The 20,427-nt window shown below is 36.2% G+C and overlaps 1 protein-coding gene across 6 annotated transcripts in view; it reads right to left on the bottom strand.

Moving 5' to 3' along the window:
• Window positions 1,237–20,427, bottom strand: part of MNAT1 (MNAT1 component of CDK activating kinase) — a 235,205-nt gene continuing 216,014 nt past the window's right edge. For 5 of the 6 annotated variants that reach the window (NM_002431.4, NM_001177963.2, XM_017021332.3 and 2 more), the window contains one exon: window positions 1,237–2,973. In NM_002431.4, the coding sequence (NP_002422.1) occupies window positions 2,853–2,973 (121 nt within the window). In that variant the 3' untranslated portion in view covers window positions 1,237–2,852. The remainder of the gene's footprint in view (window positions 2,974–20,427) is intronic. The other variant, XM_005267688.4, reaches the window with a different exon arrangement.

Genomic DNA, 20,427 nt, shown 5'->3' with positions numbered 1-20,427 from the left:
TACTTAATTCAAATTGTTTTGAAACAGCCCAAGTATTGTACACTGATGTCCTAGGTTATAAAGTATGTGTACAAATGATGTTCTTATTTATACATGTAAAGTGGTAAGACTCTTGTCTCCATTTAGTTACTCTGGACAAAATATGCAATATGTAATTGTAAAGAAAACAGAACTAGATGTATCTATTAACGTTTTAACTTCCCCCTTTCAGAGTGGATAAGTGATTATTCATTATTTAAATCTAGGTCCACCCTAAACTTTCAGATGTGATACCTAGTAAATGAATTCCTGATGAATCTACTAGAAAATGACAGCTAGAAAGCTGGAAAGCTCATTAGATACAATTTTTAATTTTGTTAACTTTTTGACAGGTTTTCTACCACCTTAATTGGATTTTAAAATAATTATCTGACAACCTGTTGAGAGCCTAAAGACAACTTCTAAGAGAAGCATAGTTGAAATATTCATTGAATCAAATTAAGGAATACTAAGTAATCATGTATACTAACTATGATGTAAATGTATTCTGTACCATTAATATCTGCTTAAGAGGGAGTATAGTTATTAGTAAAATCATTTTCTACATCATGAATTTCTCAGAACTTCTCTTAGGACATCAACAAGATCATTTAGTTGATGTCATTTATATCTCATAAAAGATCTAGATACTTGATCTGTAGAACCTCCTGGAAGTCTTATGAAGTTCGACTACCAGGACTAGTTTTAGCACAGCAGTTGTTTGACAGTCATCTCTAGAGCATGGCTTCTGGAGTCTGGCTGCCTGAGTTCAAATCCCAGCTCTGCTATTTTTAAGTTATATGACTGTTGGCAACTTACCTAACCACTGTCTCAGCTTCCTCATCTGTTAAAATGGGGAAAATACTAGTAGAACTGTTTTGAGGATTACGTAATACACAAAGCATGAAGCAGTGCCTGGGACACAGGTAATACAGTAGTTGTTAATTATTACTTCTGTACTCATAAAATACTTGAAGACTTAACTCATGTAGATGAAAGATATGTACAGCCTTTGTCTCTAAGAGTAAATCACTTGGATGGTAGGGGATAAGCACATCAATTTAGAATATTTCTGTTGTTTGGTAAATTCAGTGAATTCACTAAACCTCAGTGAATTGTCACTAAGTTATTTTTCACCATTCCCTTTGATCAAATAAGGTCAGTTAACTTCTAAATTTGGCCTATTGAACAAAGTACAGCAATAGCAACTACAAAATATTTACAAATGTATAAAGGTTTTGGAATTTATTTGCCAAACCAGGTGCATGCAATTTCCACAATAAGGCAGGCTCAAAACAAGCCTTAAAAGCCTTTGATATGTTTTATTAATTAGTTCATTCTTTTTAAAATACATTTATAAAAGGTATGAGAACAAGCAGTAGTGTTTCTTTTCAAAAGACTGGATTCCTTATTTTTGCAATTGGCTGCTGCAAAGCCTTAACTCTACATTCAATGTTCTAACTATTCTTTGAACAGATTTATAGACTGTACTTAAAAACACTAATCCTCAGTTCGGGAATACCTAATAGATACAGGAATAGGATATGCAGTCTGGTAGAATGTAGATGGAACTGGACTTTGAAAAAAAAAACCTGCATTCTAATTCTGGCTTTTTACTAACTTGTGAATATGATCTTTGTCTACTCAATTATTTGATGCCTTGGTTTTCTCATTTAACAAAGATAGAAGTACAATAAAGATGAAGATGTATTGCTAAAATTAATTAATAACTGCTTAGTAAAATAAGATGGAGTTGTTACAGATGGATAGTCCATCCTAATGTAACCACAAGTCTTGTTTCACCTAAGTTTCTACCCATAAAACTAACATCTGTTGTAATAGAGATTTGATAGGAAATCCCTTAATTTCCTTAAGAAACTATATCCCATATCCAATGCTCTATGTAACAGACTCATACAAGGTTGAGATGCTGCAATATCATCCTATTCATATCTAAACTCTTTAAGCAAAACCCTGGTAATAAAAGCCTTTGAAGTTTCAACAAAAAAACTGTATCAGTATACAATTTATACATAGGGAACTGTACTTAAAATGTACCTTCTCCAGTCTCCAAAGGATTCATCATAAAATGAGCTTACATTGGAGGTGAAAGGTATCATTTAAGTATTAAATTTTATTAACTTCTTTGAATGTGTCACTAAAGCAGGTTAATGCTGGGTTTTGTTTTATCCTGAGTGTGGCTCACAGCTGGGAACTATAACACCTTGATCAAGGTTTGCCTCATTTTCCACTGCTTAAAACAGGCATTGAGTCCTTAGTATTGAGGGAATGACATTATCATGGGTCAGGTTTTTCTTGCCATAACTTGGTCAAAGGAAATATATCCACTTGTCTGGACTAGTATTAACAAGACATTAGGAAAAAGGGGAACATTTTATGAGAAGAAATAATAGACTTGGATATTAACAGTAAATGTTGTAATCAAAATGGTATTTAAAATGTGTTCAAGTAAAACACTGTAATAAGAGAAAAACCACAGAACTTAATATAAATTATAGCTTTATTTTTTAAAAAGATTTTATAAGTCTGTCACAACCTCAAACACATATAGGTGAATTATTTATTCCTCTCTTCCATCAGATGAGGCTTATCGTGTCAAATCCTCTGAAAAATATAAGTAAAAATTATTTTTCACAAATATATATCCCCTATATTACTCAACTTAGTTCTGAAATTTTCTCCTTATAAATACTTTAACACAGCTGCTAGTGGAAGGACTGTGTTGTGCAGCTGCACATAGCTATAATTTTATAAGTCTGCTTTACTTTTGCTAGCTCCCTGGTTCAGCTCCAAGGTCCAAATCTTATAAATGGTTAACTGGGCTGCCAGAAAAGCCCACTGAATGCATCCTGTAGTGCTCTGTGACAAGCAAGAGAAGAAGTATAGCCTCCAGCAAGGTCCTGTGGTGAGGCAGCTCTGACATGGTTTAAATACCTAAAACAAAACAAGAAGTGTAGCATTGATATACAAAGCAAATATAAATAGGTAACATTTTAAAAAGCAATAGTAAAACTGATTCAAGTTTTAAAGAGGAATTCCGAGATTGAAATATTCAGACTTTTATTATAAATAGATTATTATCTTTCAAAAGGAAACATACCAACTGTACATGGAGTGCCTAAACTAGTATTAAATTACATAGCAAATTACCACGGGGTCTAAAAACAGTTCTGAAAGAGGTTTCAAAAATAATTCTAAAATATTCACTGCTTCACGATTTTCAGAGCTGATTTGTTTTGTTGGCTGTTTTTTGGACACCTAACTAATGCTCTCCTTCCTGGCATATGCTTAAGAAATACACAGTATCACAATACTATTATAGTACTGATATTTCTACATAAATTTGTTTTAAAGCAAACCCTCAATAGCTAAACAAATGGAAGAGGGGAGAAAACGTATGAGTTACTTCAAAAGTACTTTAATATTCCAAGAATATATTGTCTCATTCCTTGCAGGAAAGGAAACATTAGAAAATTACATGTTGAAGAAATCTCTGAGACTGAGCCTGAGTTCAAAATAATGTCTGAAAAAGTAAATACAGAAAAGTCTCATTGATCTCAACAATATAACAGTACAATTTTTTTCTGCAACCACACAGTTTTTTTAAAGCAATTAAACATTTATATCTTGACAAAAATAGACAAAACAGGCCTAAAAAACATTGGACAATCTAGCCAAAGAAGGGCAACTTAGCATGACTACTAACACTTCTGGAAACAAATAATTCCAGCTTTCTTTTAATGCTTAGTTTAAGAAACTAACTTGTTTCTTCAGGAAGTAAAGGAGCTTCACCCACCTTAGAATTACTGGTATGGCAAATGAATAAATCAGGTACCAGAACATTTTAATAACTTGGAACCTTTTTCACTCATTCATTCAAACTTCCTGTGTGTCAAAATCTTAATGCATGAGCAACTTATAACTTCTAACATAACAAGTCTGTTTTTCATCTGTATCCATGTTTAATAAACCTGTGTAGCTAAAACATATAGAGCAATATAAGAGTCCAGTAGAAAAAATGGGTCAAGGTAGGATGCAGCTAAGTTCCTGGAATTAGCTATAATTTATTCACATTGCCACAAATCAAGGTTTTAACTCAATTATTTGCTTCTCTGCCAAGGGCGAAAGGGGAAAGCGGAAGGAAGAAGAGAATATTTATTGAACAAAAACAAAAACATTTTTGATAGTATTTTATAGCCATAAAACATATCTCAGATATGTTTTATGTAGAATACTAATGTACTATATGTTACTATATATAATTATATACATAAGATACTAATATAGTCAGTGTAATATAAAAATATAAATAGAAAAAGGATGAAATAAAAATATTTAAATAAAAGTTCTGGCTGGGTACAGTGGCTCACACCTGTAACCCAGCACTTTGGAAGGCCAAGGTGGGCGGATCATCTGAAGTCAGAAGTTCAAGACCAGCCTGGCCAATATGGCAAAACCCCATCTCTACTAAAAATACAAAAACTTGGCTGGGCGTGGTGGCACATGCCTGTAATCCCAGCTACCCAGGAGGATGAGGCAGGAGAATCACTTGAACCCAGGAGGTGGAGGTTGCAGTGAGCCGAGATTTCGCCACTGCACTCCAGCCTGGGTGACACAGCGAGACTCCATCTCTAAATAAATTAATGAATGAATGTTTTAATATTTTCTCCATATACTGTATCTTACATATCCTCATGGGACACATCCCACTTTAGAGACTACTATTATTAATTAGTCATTGTTGTCTGGGTGTGGTGGCGCACACCTGTGAGCCCAGCACTCTGGGAAGCCGAGGCAGGTGGATCACCTGAGGACAGGAGTTTCAGACCAGCCTGGCCAACATGGTGAAACCCCGTCTCTACTAAAAATAGAAAAAGTAGCCAGGCACAGTGGCAGGTGCCTGTAATCCAGCTACTTGGGAGGCAAGAGAATCACTTCAGTCCATGAGGCAGAGGTTGCAGTGAGCGGAGATCGCACCACTGCACTCCAGCCTGGGCAACAGAGTGAGACCCTGTTTAAAAAAAAAAAAGAAAAATAGTCGTTGTTAAACTCTTGATAGAACCTTAGGTCGCATAGGATTGAAATAGGGATTCACCACACCTACCCCATGGCCATAAAGTTATCTGCTTATTACTTTCCAAGACACAATAAAGTATCAACTGTTAAGATTCTGATGCATGAGAAATGAAGTAAATGTTAAGTTACCTCAGAAAGGTCTAAAAATTAACCTGGCTTCACAGGGAATTCAATAACTATCATACAAATAATAAGTGAGTAATATTTTTATAGGTAACTTGGAAATGAAATGTTCCATTCCTGATACAAGTTTCCAGCTAATTTTTATCCGCACACCAGATGATAATGTATCACCCTTTCCTTTCCTCAGATCCTCAAAAGAAAAGCATAGTCTTAGCTTCAATAGATGTTCACTTATGGTAAAATTCAAGCACCACAGTAGAATGTTTGTCAACCTTGAAAAGCCAAACATCATAAATGAGAATTGGTTTTCATAGCTGTAATACAAACCACTGTGCAACTAACTGTTTTGATTCATCACATTTTGGTACAGCTTGCTTCTGGGAAAGTTGAGTCATACCATATCTGGCTTGGCAATTTGAGCATAAACTTGCAGTGTGCATACAGCTTTTTATATGTTATCCTGAGAAACCTGAAACAGCTGCACTGCTGGCAGGAAAACAGAGGACCACCAGTAAAATATTCAAAACAGTTGCATCTTTTAATTTATGGCCATGTTTCCATAAAGAGTATATAAAACAGTTCAGCTTTATAGGTAAAATGTTATAAACAGTCATACTCCTTGATGCCATAAATGTGTAAAAAAAGTTTTATCTAAATGATTAGTGCTTGAAAATAGTATTTCTTGAACATAGTCATAATCCAGAGTAATGAGCAAATTTTTAAATTTGACTTATTAATGCTAAGTTGTACAATTCTCACTGCCAAAACCAAGTCAATTAAAATTTCTTTGCATAGCACTGAAGAAAATGCCCTTCCCTTCTAGCAATCATTTACATTAAACATGTCTGTGAGTATGAGTCGTTGAGAGTCCTGCTTATTTACTTTGCTGTTTTTGATCTCTAGGGCTGCACAAAACTGTTACTGTGAAGTATTTCAAACTATTTTCACCACGGCAACCTACATTAATGCCAATAAAAAATAAAACAAAGTTCATTTTTGTTATTCAATTGTGGGCTTTTATTTTTTAAGTATCTTAATGTTCTTAAAACCTTTAATTATTGTAGCATGTCGAAGTATTTTAAAGAATCTGCCACATTGAAACAGCACAATGAAAATTTAGTGTTTTCTGTACTTTTCTACCTTAATCCACATCTGTGTTTTTATTCTTTCATGACCATTACAAGTACATCACTGAACAGGATTCCTGGGGTTTCTGGCAGAAGTCAGTATCATTTCATGTATACCTTTATAAAACAGAATGAGGAAGAAGTCTTAGCCAAATTTACTTCCAAAAGTCAAGCTCAGTTGGGTTTGGGAGCCTGGAGGTAATTGCTCTGACTATTTAGCCAATCCCATGACACTATTCCTGTTTTTCATGGGTTTATTTTAAATATGTGTAAATCGTATAAGCAGAAACCAGGAAAGTAAAAACGAGGTTTGCTTATTTTGGTACCTATACCTTATTTTTACTGAAAGCAGACTAAACTCAAAGACTTAAAAAATCATACCTTTGATTATTTTCTTAATAAGGTCAAAAAAAGTATGTTTTTGAAAGCATGTCTAAGATAATTCTTGTACAAAGGACATCTTATGCCCTAATTTATGCTCTGTCTAAAGCTGCCTTCCTATCCCATCAAAATCCCTTTCAAACAGACCTTGGAGAAGAGGGAGGGAAAAGGAGCAATGGATCCTGAGAAGGGCGTAAGATACGATTAAGCATTAGAAAACCACACTTGAAGGTTTGTTCCTGAACTTTGGTTTCCTACACTGTCATTTTCTTGTGTTATATTTTGCAGCTTTTGCTCCCAAAGAAAGTGGAATAATTTACACTTAGCTTCAGAAAGACTTCAGTTTCTTAGTTCTTTAACATAGGAGTGCTTCTGAGATTACTCTTTTCCTATTTCCCTTCCTTTAAAAGCACTATATTGACCATCTGGCTGAAGTCTTGGACTCAGCTCGTTTTAGTGCTACTTAACAATGCTTTGAGTTCTCAGCTAGGGGCAGAGGGCAGGGCTTGTCACTCAAGACCAAGAGGCAAGCACTCTTCCTGTCCAGTCATAATATGTTTGTGACAATCCTTAAAGCACACTGGCTTGGAATTAATATTGAAATGAAATGTAAAGTTCATATTAGTTTCCTCCACCTCAAATTACCGGGCCCTATGGAGAGTTAAAAACTTGGATTGGTTCAAACTAAGAAAGGTAGTGAACTCTAGAGACTAAGACTTTCTTTTTACAAGGTGGCCCGTTTTTTTAGTCTTCATTTAAAGCCATCATGCATTAAACAGACCATTTCCAAACAGATCTGTGTCCTAGCCCACAAAATTCAAATCTAACTGCCATTAAGAGAGATCAGCCAGCTGATCTCAGCTATCAAGACCCACAGCTCTTGTAGGAAGTTCAGCCAAAGCTATAAAGATTTACATTAACAACCTGAAGCCTACCTCAGTGAGATTTAAAAACAACCAGAGCAACAGTGCGCTCACACAACTATCACTAAAAAGCAAAACCATTCTGAAAACTAGTTAATGGTTAGGTGTCTTAAACTAAGCACAGTACCAGAATAATAGACAAACTGTTTATAGAGTGGTAACCATATATTCTAAGATAAATGAGAAAAGACACTACATGTCAGAAATACTATTCATAATTCTGAGGGCAGCTTGGTTATAAAAATACATGGCCGGCTGGGTGTGGTGGCTCATGCCTGTAATCCCAGCACTTTGGGAGGGCGAGGTGGGCAGATCACGAGGTCAGGAGTTCCAGACCAGCCTGACCAACATGGTGAAAACCCGAATCTACTAAAAATACAAAAATTAGCCGGGCGTGGTGGCACGCACCTGTAATCCCAGCTACTCAGGAGGCTGAGGCAGGAGAATCGCTTGAACCCGGGAGGTGGAGGTCGCAGCGAGCCAAGATCACGCCACTGCACTCCAGCCTGGGCGACAGAGCGAGACTCCATCTTAAAAAAAACAAAAAACAAAAAACATATGGCTTCATGAAGTCCAAACAAAAATGTAACAAACTTCCACAGGCAGTCATATGTTACTCTTACACTTTACCATCTAGCCAGCTAGTGAGAATACAATTTGAATAAACTAATAATAAAACTGAATTCAGATTTACATCAATACACTTGGAAAGAGAGTGAATAGTTATGCCAGACATTTAGACCAATCAAACACCAAAACTCATATTTGGAAATTAAAAGACACATGGTTTCCAAATGAACACAATGCTTTATTATTACTCATATTTAATAACTGAATATAGATTGCTCGGAGAAGACTTTCTGCCTTATAACTGGAGTATAAGTCCAGTTATACTATAACTGTGTAATTTATTGCTATCAAAGAGCACACCAGGTATTTTGGATAGAACAGTTATTACTGACAGTTAATATAATTACATAATGAAAGGATTACTTCCTTGATTTAAGTGTGAACTATAGAACACACAGAAGATATAGCTACTTAAGTATAATATATTCTATGAACAATGTTGTTGGTAGTGCTGATTATCTCAAAGGATAGACCTCTAAGGATAGATTCTGTCTATATACTACATACATTTAAACACAGGAACATCTCAGGAACATGGGCTATGAGATAGATAGAGCCATGAAAAACAGATAATAAACAGTAGCTAATAGGCCAAAAGATATTTGATAAATTTTAAGTATATTCTTCCAAGTCAGATGTTTATTTCCACAAGAGATTAATACAATGTTTGTCTAATTTCAGTATTGCCATTATATGCTTAGATGACATTACACAGAAAAATGGCATAAATATTGTTTTTATTTTTTGATTCTTAAAACATTATGATACTCATTTCTATTAATTTATTCAGAATAATGACTGGAAGAGACAGAGTAAGGCAAAGTTTCATTAAAAAATCTAAAAATAGCAAGTAATATGAGCCTAGATTTTGTGTATCCCAATGAGGAACAAGTGTCACTTCTTGGAAATTCAGTAGATATTATAAAAATAAATGTACTAGCTTCTGAATTTCTTTGGTAATATTCCTTAAAAAACCTAGTGCCTGATTCTGGTTTGTCTAATGTAATTTTTTACTAGAAATTCCATGTTAGTAACAGCTATGTGCCAGAATTTTCATCATATCTTTATAAAGGCAGGATGAGTAATTTATCTCCAAGAGTGAGGGGACAAAAATGCAGAAATTTAGATACATGCAGCTCATTCATTCTCAAAAAAAAAATTACTGAGAGCCTACTATTTGCCAGGTATTGAAGTAGCCCTGATAATAAGACAGAGAACAAAGCCTTCGTGATCTCATTGACCGTATAATCCAGCAGAAAAGAAACATATTAAATAATGAATATTACAAATGAGAAAGTAGGGCTTGATGAATGTGGATAAAAAGAGAAGCCAACATGAATAAGATCAGAACAGGTTTCCCTAAAAAAATGACAGTTAAGCTTAGATCCAAAGAGATAAAATTAGCTAGGAAGGCAAGGGGAGTATAACGGTGATCCAGAGAGAGGGAAGAACATATATGAAGGAGTAAGGAGACACAGTACATATTGAGAATATAGGGGACAGGTGGTTTCAGCTCAGGATGAGGCTAGAGATGTAGGCAGAAAGTACACAAAAGATGGCCTTATAGAAAATGTTTAAAAACTGTGGATTTTATTCAAGGGCACTGGGAAGCCACTGAAAAGTTATTATTAGAAAGCTGATGGCCGGGCGCGGTGGCTCATGCCTGTAATCCCAGCACTTTGGGAGGCCGAGGTGGGCGGATCATCTGAGGTCAGGAGTTCGAGACCTGCCCGACCAACATGGAGAAACCCCATCTCTACTAAAAATACAAAATCAGCTGGACACAGAGGCGCATGCCTGTAATCTCAGCTACTCGGGAGGCTGAGGCAGGAGAATCACTTGAACCCGGGAGGTAGAGGTTGCGGTGAGCTGAGATCGCACCATTGCACTCCAGCCTGGGCAACAAGAGCAACACTCCGTCTCAAAAAAAGAAAAAAAAAGAAAAAAGAAAGTAAAAAGGAAACCTGATAATGTAAATGGTCCACTTTGGCTGCCCAATGGATTAGAGAAAAGCAAGAGTAGATACAGAGAGATTCCTTAGGAGGATGTTTCTCTAGTCCAGGCTTGATGCAATGGTGATTTGAATTAGGGTGGTGGCAGTGAAAATAATGAAAACTACTGGTTTAGAAATATTTCAGTGAGTGAGTGGGTGGATATGGGGGTGGGAATATGAGGGTGGGAAGGAGAAAGCAGTGTCAAGGTCAACTTCCAGGTACCTAGTCACATAATCACATAGATCAGGGAAGATGCCCTCACAGAGAAATAGAAAACTGGAGAAGCAATTAAGGGTGGGAGAGGAAAGAAGGGAAAGATCCCAACTTTGGTTTTGGACTTGAGTCTGAAGTGATTATAGTAGAGACATATGCATGGTGATGAGGAATGGTAGCTGGATATATGGGCCAAGTGAAAAGAAGAGAGTTATGAAATGAAGATACCAATTTGGAGTTACCAGAATTTAGATGGTATTTGAAACCATAAAAATAAATGTTAATATTTAAGAAGAAGGGATAGAACGAGAAAAGAGGAGGGCCTAAGGCAGAGGCCTAGAGAACTACAATGTGTAATGGTCTGACAAAAGAAGCTATTTTGAAGTAAAGGGTAGTAAATGCAGCTATCCCCTGCTATCCCCAATACCTCATAAACTCTCTTCCCCTCCTTTCTAGAGTTGCAAAAAATGTAGACACAAGGGAGGTGTAAGCCACCTGGAAAGGAGGAAAACAATAATAACAGAGACAAGGTAACCTATTTGATTCCCCCACCTAAGGACTCCAAAGGGCATATGCATAGTATTTACAGCAGACGTGTTTCTTATAGCAAAAGAACAACAGAAACAACCAAATGTCCATTGACAAGAGAATGGATAAACTTGTTATTGATACAATGGAATACTATCAGAAGTGAAAATAAATAAGTTACAGCTATGTACATGCATCAATACGACTGACTCTCAGAAACAATGCTTAGCAAAAAAAAAAAAAAAAACATAAAAACCAAGTTACATAAGAATATGAAGAGCATGGTTCCATTCATATTAAATTCTGAACATGCAAAGCTAAACATGGAATATGTAAATATGACAAAGCTATAAAGAAAAGCAAGGAATGATGTCAGAAAGATGGCTAAGTAGGAAAACCCAGCCTTCGTTTTCTTCACAAAGAACAATAATTGGACGCTACCCATGAATGGGAATAACTGGAAGAGCTCAGGAATCTACTTAAGAAACTACAGCAATACACTGGAAGAAAACTCCCATAAGTAATGACACAAAAATTCCATAACCACACAAAAGAAAGAAACAGTTCATTCTGCCTTTATCATCCCATTCCCAAGGCTAGCACTGATCAGCATAGAAAAGGAACTCCCAAGTTTGTAATCACTGGCATGGCAATGGAGAGCAGGATGAAAGAGCAGCTTCCCCAGACTTTCAGGGTACTGCCTGAGAAATCAGCAACCAGCATTAGTTATACCCCACCCAGATTGCTGAAGAGACTGGCATGGGTGGAAACAAAGAAGGATGGGGGCTATCAGTATCAGCCATATAAGCAGAAATCATTATTATCCTTAGTGGCCTGCTCTGCACAGGATTCCAGCAGCCTTCTCTGCTGAGGACCTCAACAGCCCTTGTGGCTACCACAAGAGATTTCACCCCTGAGGATACCACGGTGTTCACTGAGGTGGACCACGGCAGCTTGCTCTGCAGAAGACCCTAACAGGCTTTTGCTGGCTGCTGAGGAATCTAGCAGTCAGCATAGCTACAACAGACCCCCTGCAGGTTTGGCCACTGGGCATCCCACAGTTTTCTGCCTTCCCAATCTCCAGGTGCCTAAGTGGTGACGTGTGCCTGTAGTCCTAACTACTTGGGAGACTGAGGCAGGAGGGTCACTTGAGCCTGGGAGGTTAAGGCTTCAGTGAGTCATAATTATGCCACTGCAGTACAGCCAAAGTAACAGAGTAAGACCTTGTCTCCCAGGCGCAGTGGCTCACGCCTGTAATCCCAGCACTTTGGGAGGCCGAGGCAGGCAGATCACGAGGTCAGGAGATTGAGACCATCCTGGCTAACACAGTGAAACTCCGTCTCTACCAAAAATACAAAAAGAAATTAGCCAGGCGTGGTGGTGGGCGCCTGTAGTCCCAGCTACTCAGGAGGCTGAGGCAGGAGAATGGTGTGAACCCAGGAGGCGGAGCTTGCAGTGAGCCAAGATCGCGCCACTGCACTCCAGCCTGGGTGACAGAGCGAGACTCTGTCTCAAAAAAAAAAAAAAAAAAAAGACCTTGTCTCGAAAGAAGGAAAAAGAAAGAAAGAGAAAGAGAAAGAAATACTGTCAGAAAACTTTCTAAATATGGGGAAAGATATAAACATCAAGGTACATGAAACATAAAGATGTAAAATCAGATTCAACCCAGAGAAGACTTCACCAAGACACATTATAATCAAATTTTCAAAAATCAAAGACAGAGAATTTTTAAAGCAGCAAGAGAGAAGCAGCATATCACATACAAGGGAAGCTAAATAAGACCACTGATGAATTTCTCAGCAAAAATCTTGCAGACCAGGAGTAAGTGGGAAGAGTTTGTGAAAGAAAAAAAAAATGCCAACCAAAAATACTTTATGCAGCAAAGCTATCCTTCACCAATGAGGGACAAAGACTTTTCCAGACAAACAAAACTGAGGGAGTTCATCACTATTAGACTTGTGTTACAAGAAATGCAAAAGGGAGTTCTTCAGACTTTAACAAAAGGCCACTACTTAGAAACATGAAAGTATAGAGTGGGCACGGTGGCTCAAGCCTGTAATCCCAGCACTTTGGGAGGGTGAGGCGGGCAGATCACCTGAGGTCGGAAGTTCGAGACCAGCCTGACCAACATGGAGAAACCTTGTCTGTAGTAAAAATACAAAATTAGCTGGGTGTGGTGGTGCATGCCTGTAATCCCAGCTACTCGGGAGGTTGGGGCAGGAGAATCACTTGAACCTGGGAGGCGGAGGCTGCAGTGAGCTGAGATCGTGCCACTGCACTCTACCCTGGGCAACAAGAGTGAAACGCCATCCCCAAAAAAAAAACATCAAAGTATAAAACTCACTGACAAAGGTAAATATATAGTCAAATTCAGAATACCCTAACACTGTACTGGTAGTGTGTAAATTACTTATAACTCTAATATAAATGTTGAAAGACAAAAGCATTTCCAGAAAAGAACTAGAGCTACAAAAATTTGTTAATGGATATATAATGTAAAAATACATACACTGACACAGAAAACATAAAATATAAGAGAAGAATGATATGGTTCGGCTGTTTCCCTACCCAAATTTTCATCTTGAATTGTAGCTCCCATAATTCCCACCTGTCATGGGAGGGACCTAGTAGGAGGTAAATGAATCACGGGAGCAGATCTTTCCCATGCTGTTCTCATGATAGTGAGTAAGTCTCATGAGATCTGTTGGTTTTATAAAGGGGAGTTCCCCTGCCACATGCTTTCTTGCCTTCTGCCATGTAAGATGTGTTTGCTCCTCATTCGCCTTCAGCCATGATTGTGAGGCCTCCCCAACCATGTGGAACTGAGAGTCAATTAAACCTCTTTCCTTTATAAATTACCCAGTCTCAGGTATATCTTTATTAGCAGGATGAGGACAGACTAATACCGAGAGTAAAAGTAAGTTTTTGTATGTTTTTGTATGACTAGCGTAACTATAAGATGTTTTATGTAACCCTCATGGTAACAAAAATGCAAAAACCTACAGTAGATACACAAAAGATGAAGAGAAAGGAATAGAAGAAACATGCCACTACAGAAAATCATCAAATCACAAAGAAAGACAGCAAGAAAAAAGGGACAAAAGGTCTCCAAAACAACCAAATAACTACAACACCATTAACAAAATAGCAAAAGTAAATCTTTACCTATCAATCATTACTTTAAATGTAAATAGACTAAATTTGCCAATCAAAAGACATAGAGTGGTTGAATGGATAAAAAAAAATAAGACCCAATTATATGCTGCCTGAAAGAGACTCACTTCACATTTAAGGACACACACAGAATGAAAGTGAAGATACTCCATGTAAATGGAAACCAAAAAGAACAGGGACAGGTAAACTTACATCAGACAAAACAGATGTTAAGTCAAACCATCACATGAAACAAAGAAGGTCACTAGATAATGATAAAAGGATCAATTAATCAAGAGGATATAACAAATGTAAATATATGTGAACCGAAGTCAGAGCACCTAAACACATAAAGCAAATATTAACAGATCTAAAGGGAGAAATAGACAGCAATACAATAATAGTTGGGAATTCAACATTTCACTTCGAACAATGGATAGATAATCCAGAAAGAATATCAGTAAAGGAACACTAAGCTGGAATTACACTTCAGACAAAATAAACCTAACAGACGTATACAGAAAATTCCAGCCAACAGCAGCAGAATACACATTCTTCTTGAGTGCAAAGAACATTTTACAAAATAAATCATACGTTAGCCCAGAAACCAAATCTTAACACATTTAGTAAGACTGAAATCATATTGAGTAATTTTTATAACCACAATGATATGAAACTAGAAATCAGTAACAGAAGAAAAACTAGAAAATTCACAAACGTGGAAATTAAACAACACACTCATGAACAATCAATGGTTCAAGAAGAAATCAAAAGGGAAGTTTTGATTCTCAAGAAAAATATCTTAAGAATAATGAAAAAGTAAACATAACACACCAAAATTTATGGTATGTAGCCAAAGCAGTCCTGAGAAATTTATACTAATAAAAGACAATACTTAAAAAGAAAAAAAATCTCAAATAACCTGATATTACACTTTAAAGAACTAGTTAGTGTAAGGAAGCCCAAAGTTACAGTCAGGATGGAAATAAAGATCAGAGTAGAAATAAAATAGAGATTAGACATACAATAGAAAGAAAAAAAATCAATGAAACTAAAAGTTGGTTTTTTTAAAAACATAAAACTCACAAACCTTTAGCTAGATTAACTAAGAAAAAAGAAAGAAGACTCAAATACATAAAATTAGAAATGAAGGAGGAGATATTACAATTGAGGCCACATAGGTATGAAAAAAATCACTAAACAATTATACACCAATAAATTGGAGAACTCAGAAAAAATGGATAAATTCCTAGACACAGACAACCTACCAAGACTGAATTATAAAGCAATAAAAATTGTAAACAAACCAATAGAAAGTAAGGAGATTGAATCTTTTATTTATTTATTTATTTAGAGACAGAGTTTTGTTCTTGTTGCCCAGGTTTGAGTGCAATGGTGCGATCTTGGCTCACTGCAACCTCCGCCTCCTGGGTTCAAGCAATTATCTTGCCTCAGTCTCCCAGTAGCTGGGATTACAGGCACCCACCACCACGCCCAGCTGATTTTTGTATTTTTAGTAGAGATGGGGTTTCACCATGTTGGCCAGGCTGGTCTTCAACTCCTGACCTCAGGTGACTCACCTGTCTCGGCCTCCCAAAGTGCTGGGATTACAGGTGTGAGCCACCACACCTGGCCTGAATCTATAATTTTTTTTTTAATGTCATTAAAGAAAAGCTTAGAACCTGATGGCTTCATTGCTGAATTCTCCTAAATGTTCAAAAAAGAATTAATACCAATCCTTCTTCAAATTTTTCTAAAAACTGAAAAGGAGACAATACTTCCAAGCTTATTTTATGAGGCCTGCATTACCCTAATACAAAAGCCAAACAAGGATATTAAAGAAAAGAACTATTACAGTCTAATATCTATAATGAACACAGATGTAAAAATCTTCAACAAAATATTAGCAAACCAAAATCAACAGCATATTAAAAGAATCAATACACTATGATCAAGTAGGATTTGTCACAGGGATGCAACATATGGAAATCTATGAAAATGATACACCACATTAACATAATGTACAAAAACCATATGATCATCTCAATAAATATAAAAAAAGCATTTAACAAAATTCAACGTCCTTTCATGATAAAAACTATCAACAAATTACATATAGAAGGAATGTACCTCAACACAATAAAGGCCATATATATATAAAATACGATAGCTAACATCACACTAAACTGTTAAAAGTTGAAAGCTTTTCCTTTAAAATTAGGAATAAGCCAAGAATGCCCACTCTTGCCATTTCTGTTCAACATAATACTGGAAGTTATAGCCAGAGCAATTAGGCAAAAGAAGAAATAGGAAAAGTTACATTGTCTCTGTTTGCAGATAACATGATCTTATTTATAGAAAACCCTAACAACTCCACCAAAAAACTGTTGAAACTAATTGATTCAGTAAAGCTTCAGCATGCAAAATCAGCATACAGAAATTAGTAGCACCTCCATACACTAACAAGGAGCTGTCTGAAGAAGAAATCAAGAAAACAATCCCATTTACAATAGCTACCAAAACAAACAAAAACAAAACAAAAAACCCCAACAATTTAAAAACAAATTTAACCAAGGAGGTGAAGATCTATACACTGAAAACTATAAAACTCTGATGAAAGACATTGGAGACAAAAGTAAATGAAAAAATATTCCTTATTCATGGAATGGAAGAATTAACATTGATAAAATGTCCATAAAATCCAAAGTGATCAACAGATTCAATGATTCCATCACTGAATTCTAATCACATTTTTCTATCAAAATTCTTATGACATTTTTCACAGAAATAGAGAAAAGAATCCTAAAATTCATGTGGAATAACAAAAGACCTTGAATAGGCAAATAAAGCTTAAGGAAATGAACAAAGAGGCATGTAAATATCACCTGATCTCAAAGTATACTACAAAGCTAAAGTAATCAAAACAGCCTGGTACTGGCATAAAAACAGTATACACCAATGGAACAGAACAGAGAACCTAGAAAGGGGCTAATATACAAAATATATAAAGAACACAAACAACTCGATAGCAAGAAAACAAATAACCTGATTAAAAAATGGGCAAATGACTGGAATAGACATTTCTCAAAGGAAGACATACAAATGGCCAAAAGGTATGTGAAAAAACTTTAACATCACTAATCACCAGGCAAAACAAATTAAAATCACAATGAGGTATCACCTCACACCTGTTAGGATGGCTACTATGAAAAAGGCAATATATAACAAGGGTTCGCAAGGGTGTGGAGAACAGAGAACCCCTAGTACAGTGTTAATGAGAATGTAAATTGTAAAGCCATCATGGAAAACAGTACGGAAGTTCCTCAAAAAATTAAAAACAGAACTACCATATGCACTCCTTATTAGTGTTTTGAAAGATGAAACATGAAAATTTATGTAAAGCATCTGGTACATTCAATTATGTGTAAGTGTTCTTGTCCACCCTCTATCTTCTATTTGATAATTTCAATACAAAGCATGCTTTCACAAAAGATAGATCTTCCATAGCCCAAATTTCCAAAGCACTTTTACCCTCTGCTAATAGTATGTACCTCTCCTTTCCCAACCCTGTGACCTCCTACGTCTATTCCAACAATAATATTGTTGCTTTCTATCTTTCCCCTTTTACTGTACCTCTATTATGAAGATCAAAGTGGAGATTTCAAAGGATAAGAAGAATCTTGCTTGCTAATCTTTTATCACAGGGTAATAGAGTAACCCAAGGGTGCCAATACCTACACGCTAACAGACATGGGGAAAAATTTACATATATACATACGTATAATACATTTGTATAGATTCAAACATATACATACAGATCTATATTTCACAAATACTATGTATACCCTTATAAGTTTTATTTCAGAAGTGAATTTACTACATTATTTCCACTCTCACTGCCTCTCCTTCCACTTGTTCCTCATATCCTTGTATTTTGACTCTGGTTACCATTAAATGGCCATTTCTTGGACCTCATCCTCCTCAACATTTTCCTCCACCTCTCTAATAGTGATAGCCCCTGGCCGTGAAATGCTTCCAGTTTCTGATTTCCATAATATCAGTCTATGCCCCGGGCCACACTCCTACTACTCTGACATATCATTCCCCACAATTCTCTTTTTCTATTTCCTAATTACTAATTTTCTTCTTGGTTTACCTCCTCTCTTTCCTGATTCTTGATTCTGTCTCTGAAATGTATGGCTTCATTTAATGCTTCTGTTCTACTAAGCCCCACATCTCTTTTGGTCTGTCCTTCTATCTTAATTATAGTCCAATATGTTTATCTGCATGGGTGGCCCTTTGTACCTGGGTATCCCACTGGCACTACAAAGATAATATTTTCATAATCGAACTCACCTTTCTTTACAAACCTAACGCTCTGTCTGTGTCTGACTTTCCTTAATAGTTTCAGCATCCTCACTGGGGTCATCTTGGAATGCTCTTTCTCCTGAATACCAGTGTGAAACCTGTATCATAATCTCTCTATAAACATCTATTTACCTCTCACATCATCTTCATTGCCACTATTGTTACCGTATTTCAGGTCTTTATTACCTCTTTCACAGACTAATGTGAATAGTCTCTTAATTGATCTCCCTATTTACAGTATGTTCTCTCCATTCCAACCTATTCATGGTTACCAAATTAATCTTCTTAGAGCAAAGCTCTGCATGACTCTCACGCAAAAAGACATTCATTGGATTCCTGCTATATGTAGCATGAAGTCCAAATTCCTTAGCCTACCATTCAAGGCCTACTGTACTTGATTCCAACCCACCTTTCCAAACATATTTTCCATTAACCATCTCCATGTACCCTGAACTTAAGCCAAAGTCAACTGTGAGGTTTTCTGTTACCCTCTATTAAAGGAGACAGGTCTCAGTCCTGTTAGAGGTAGGAAGCTGAAACTGGGCTTGCAGCCCTGCATGTAACCTAGATCTACAAAATACTCTTCTGTCTATGAAACAGCTCCTAGGAAAATTTTGCTTACTAGCTTGGGTATAGTCACAAGAAAGCTTGCAACCCATCTGGGGCATGGGTGGAAAAGGAATCACACATAAGGAATGAGACTACCCAAGCCTGCTCCACCCGCAAAAAATTAAGAATAACAACTGGTTCAGACTCAGTGAAGCCAACAGGAATTTGTCAGAAGCAAATATGAATCTCTATAACAGTATGCCTTCACGATCCAAGACCCACAGGAAAACAACTCCCACTAAAAAAAAATTCACAGTAAAATGGAAAAAAAAAATTTAAATGAACCTCACTTATAAAAGAGTCAGAAGACATGACCAATGGCAGGACTGACACATCCACAATCATAGATAATAAACTGAAAGAAATTCTAAAAGAAGTATATTTAATGTCAAAAGAAACCACGAAAGGAATAGCTGCCATACGGCAAGGAAAGGACAATATGAAAAGAATAGGCATTTTCTTTTTTGAAAGAATCAAACAGGAATCTTGGAATAAAAGTTTCAATGGACAGGTTAAGCATTAGATTATCCACAGAAGGACAGAAAATAGTAAACTGAAAGACATATGTGAGGAAAACACAAAATACAGTAGAGCTCTCCCCCGACAAAAAAAGGAAAATGTGAAAAAGAACCACTAAAGGAAATGTTTCAGCAAGAAGCAAATTAAACTCCAATGGGAAAAGCAGGATGTAAGGAGCAAAGATGAGCCAAAAACAATAATAACAATAAGACAAAGTAGCAACAAAAACAGCAAAAAAAAAAAAAAAAAAAAGGGAGGGGAAGCCTGAGTTTAAGCATTCTAAGGTCTTTGTTTTGTTCAGAAGGAGGAAAGATATTAAGTTTAGAATTTTTTGATGTTTGCAAATAATATTTCTTAATTCTGGGTAGCACAATTATTATGTTATTATATTACTCTCTGTGCTTCTCTATGTTTGAAATATTTAACAACTGTTTTAGATTACACCTCTTCTGGATTGTCCAGATAGAATTACTTCTTTCCTCCTCTGAATTCGCAAAGCACTTTATCGCTACCTCTCTTCTACGTACCATGGCTACTTAAAAATGTTATACATTCCCCACTAGATAAGTTTCTTGATAGCAACATAAATATTTATTTGCCATCATTTTAAAAAATCATCCTAACTTCTAATCAGAAAATACAGAATTTTTAAAACTAAATTAGGTTCTGATTAGTTAAGATATAGCTCTAAAGTGCAGCCATGATAATAGCTGGCAAATAAAAATAGGATATGAAAACAATTAT

Source organism: Homo sapiens, chromosome 14 (assembly GCF_000001405.40).
Source record: "Homo sapiens chromosome 14, GRCh38.p14 Primary Assembly".
Taxonomy (NCBI): domain Eukaryota; kingdom Metazoa; phylum Chordata; class Mammalia; order Primates; family Hominidae; genus Homo; species Homo sapiens.
The sequence above is the reverse complement of the archived record's forward strand: the minus strand, read 5'-3'. Positions and strand labels throughout refer to the sequence as shown.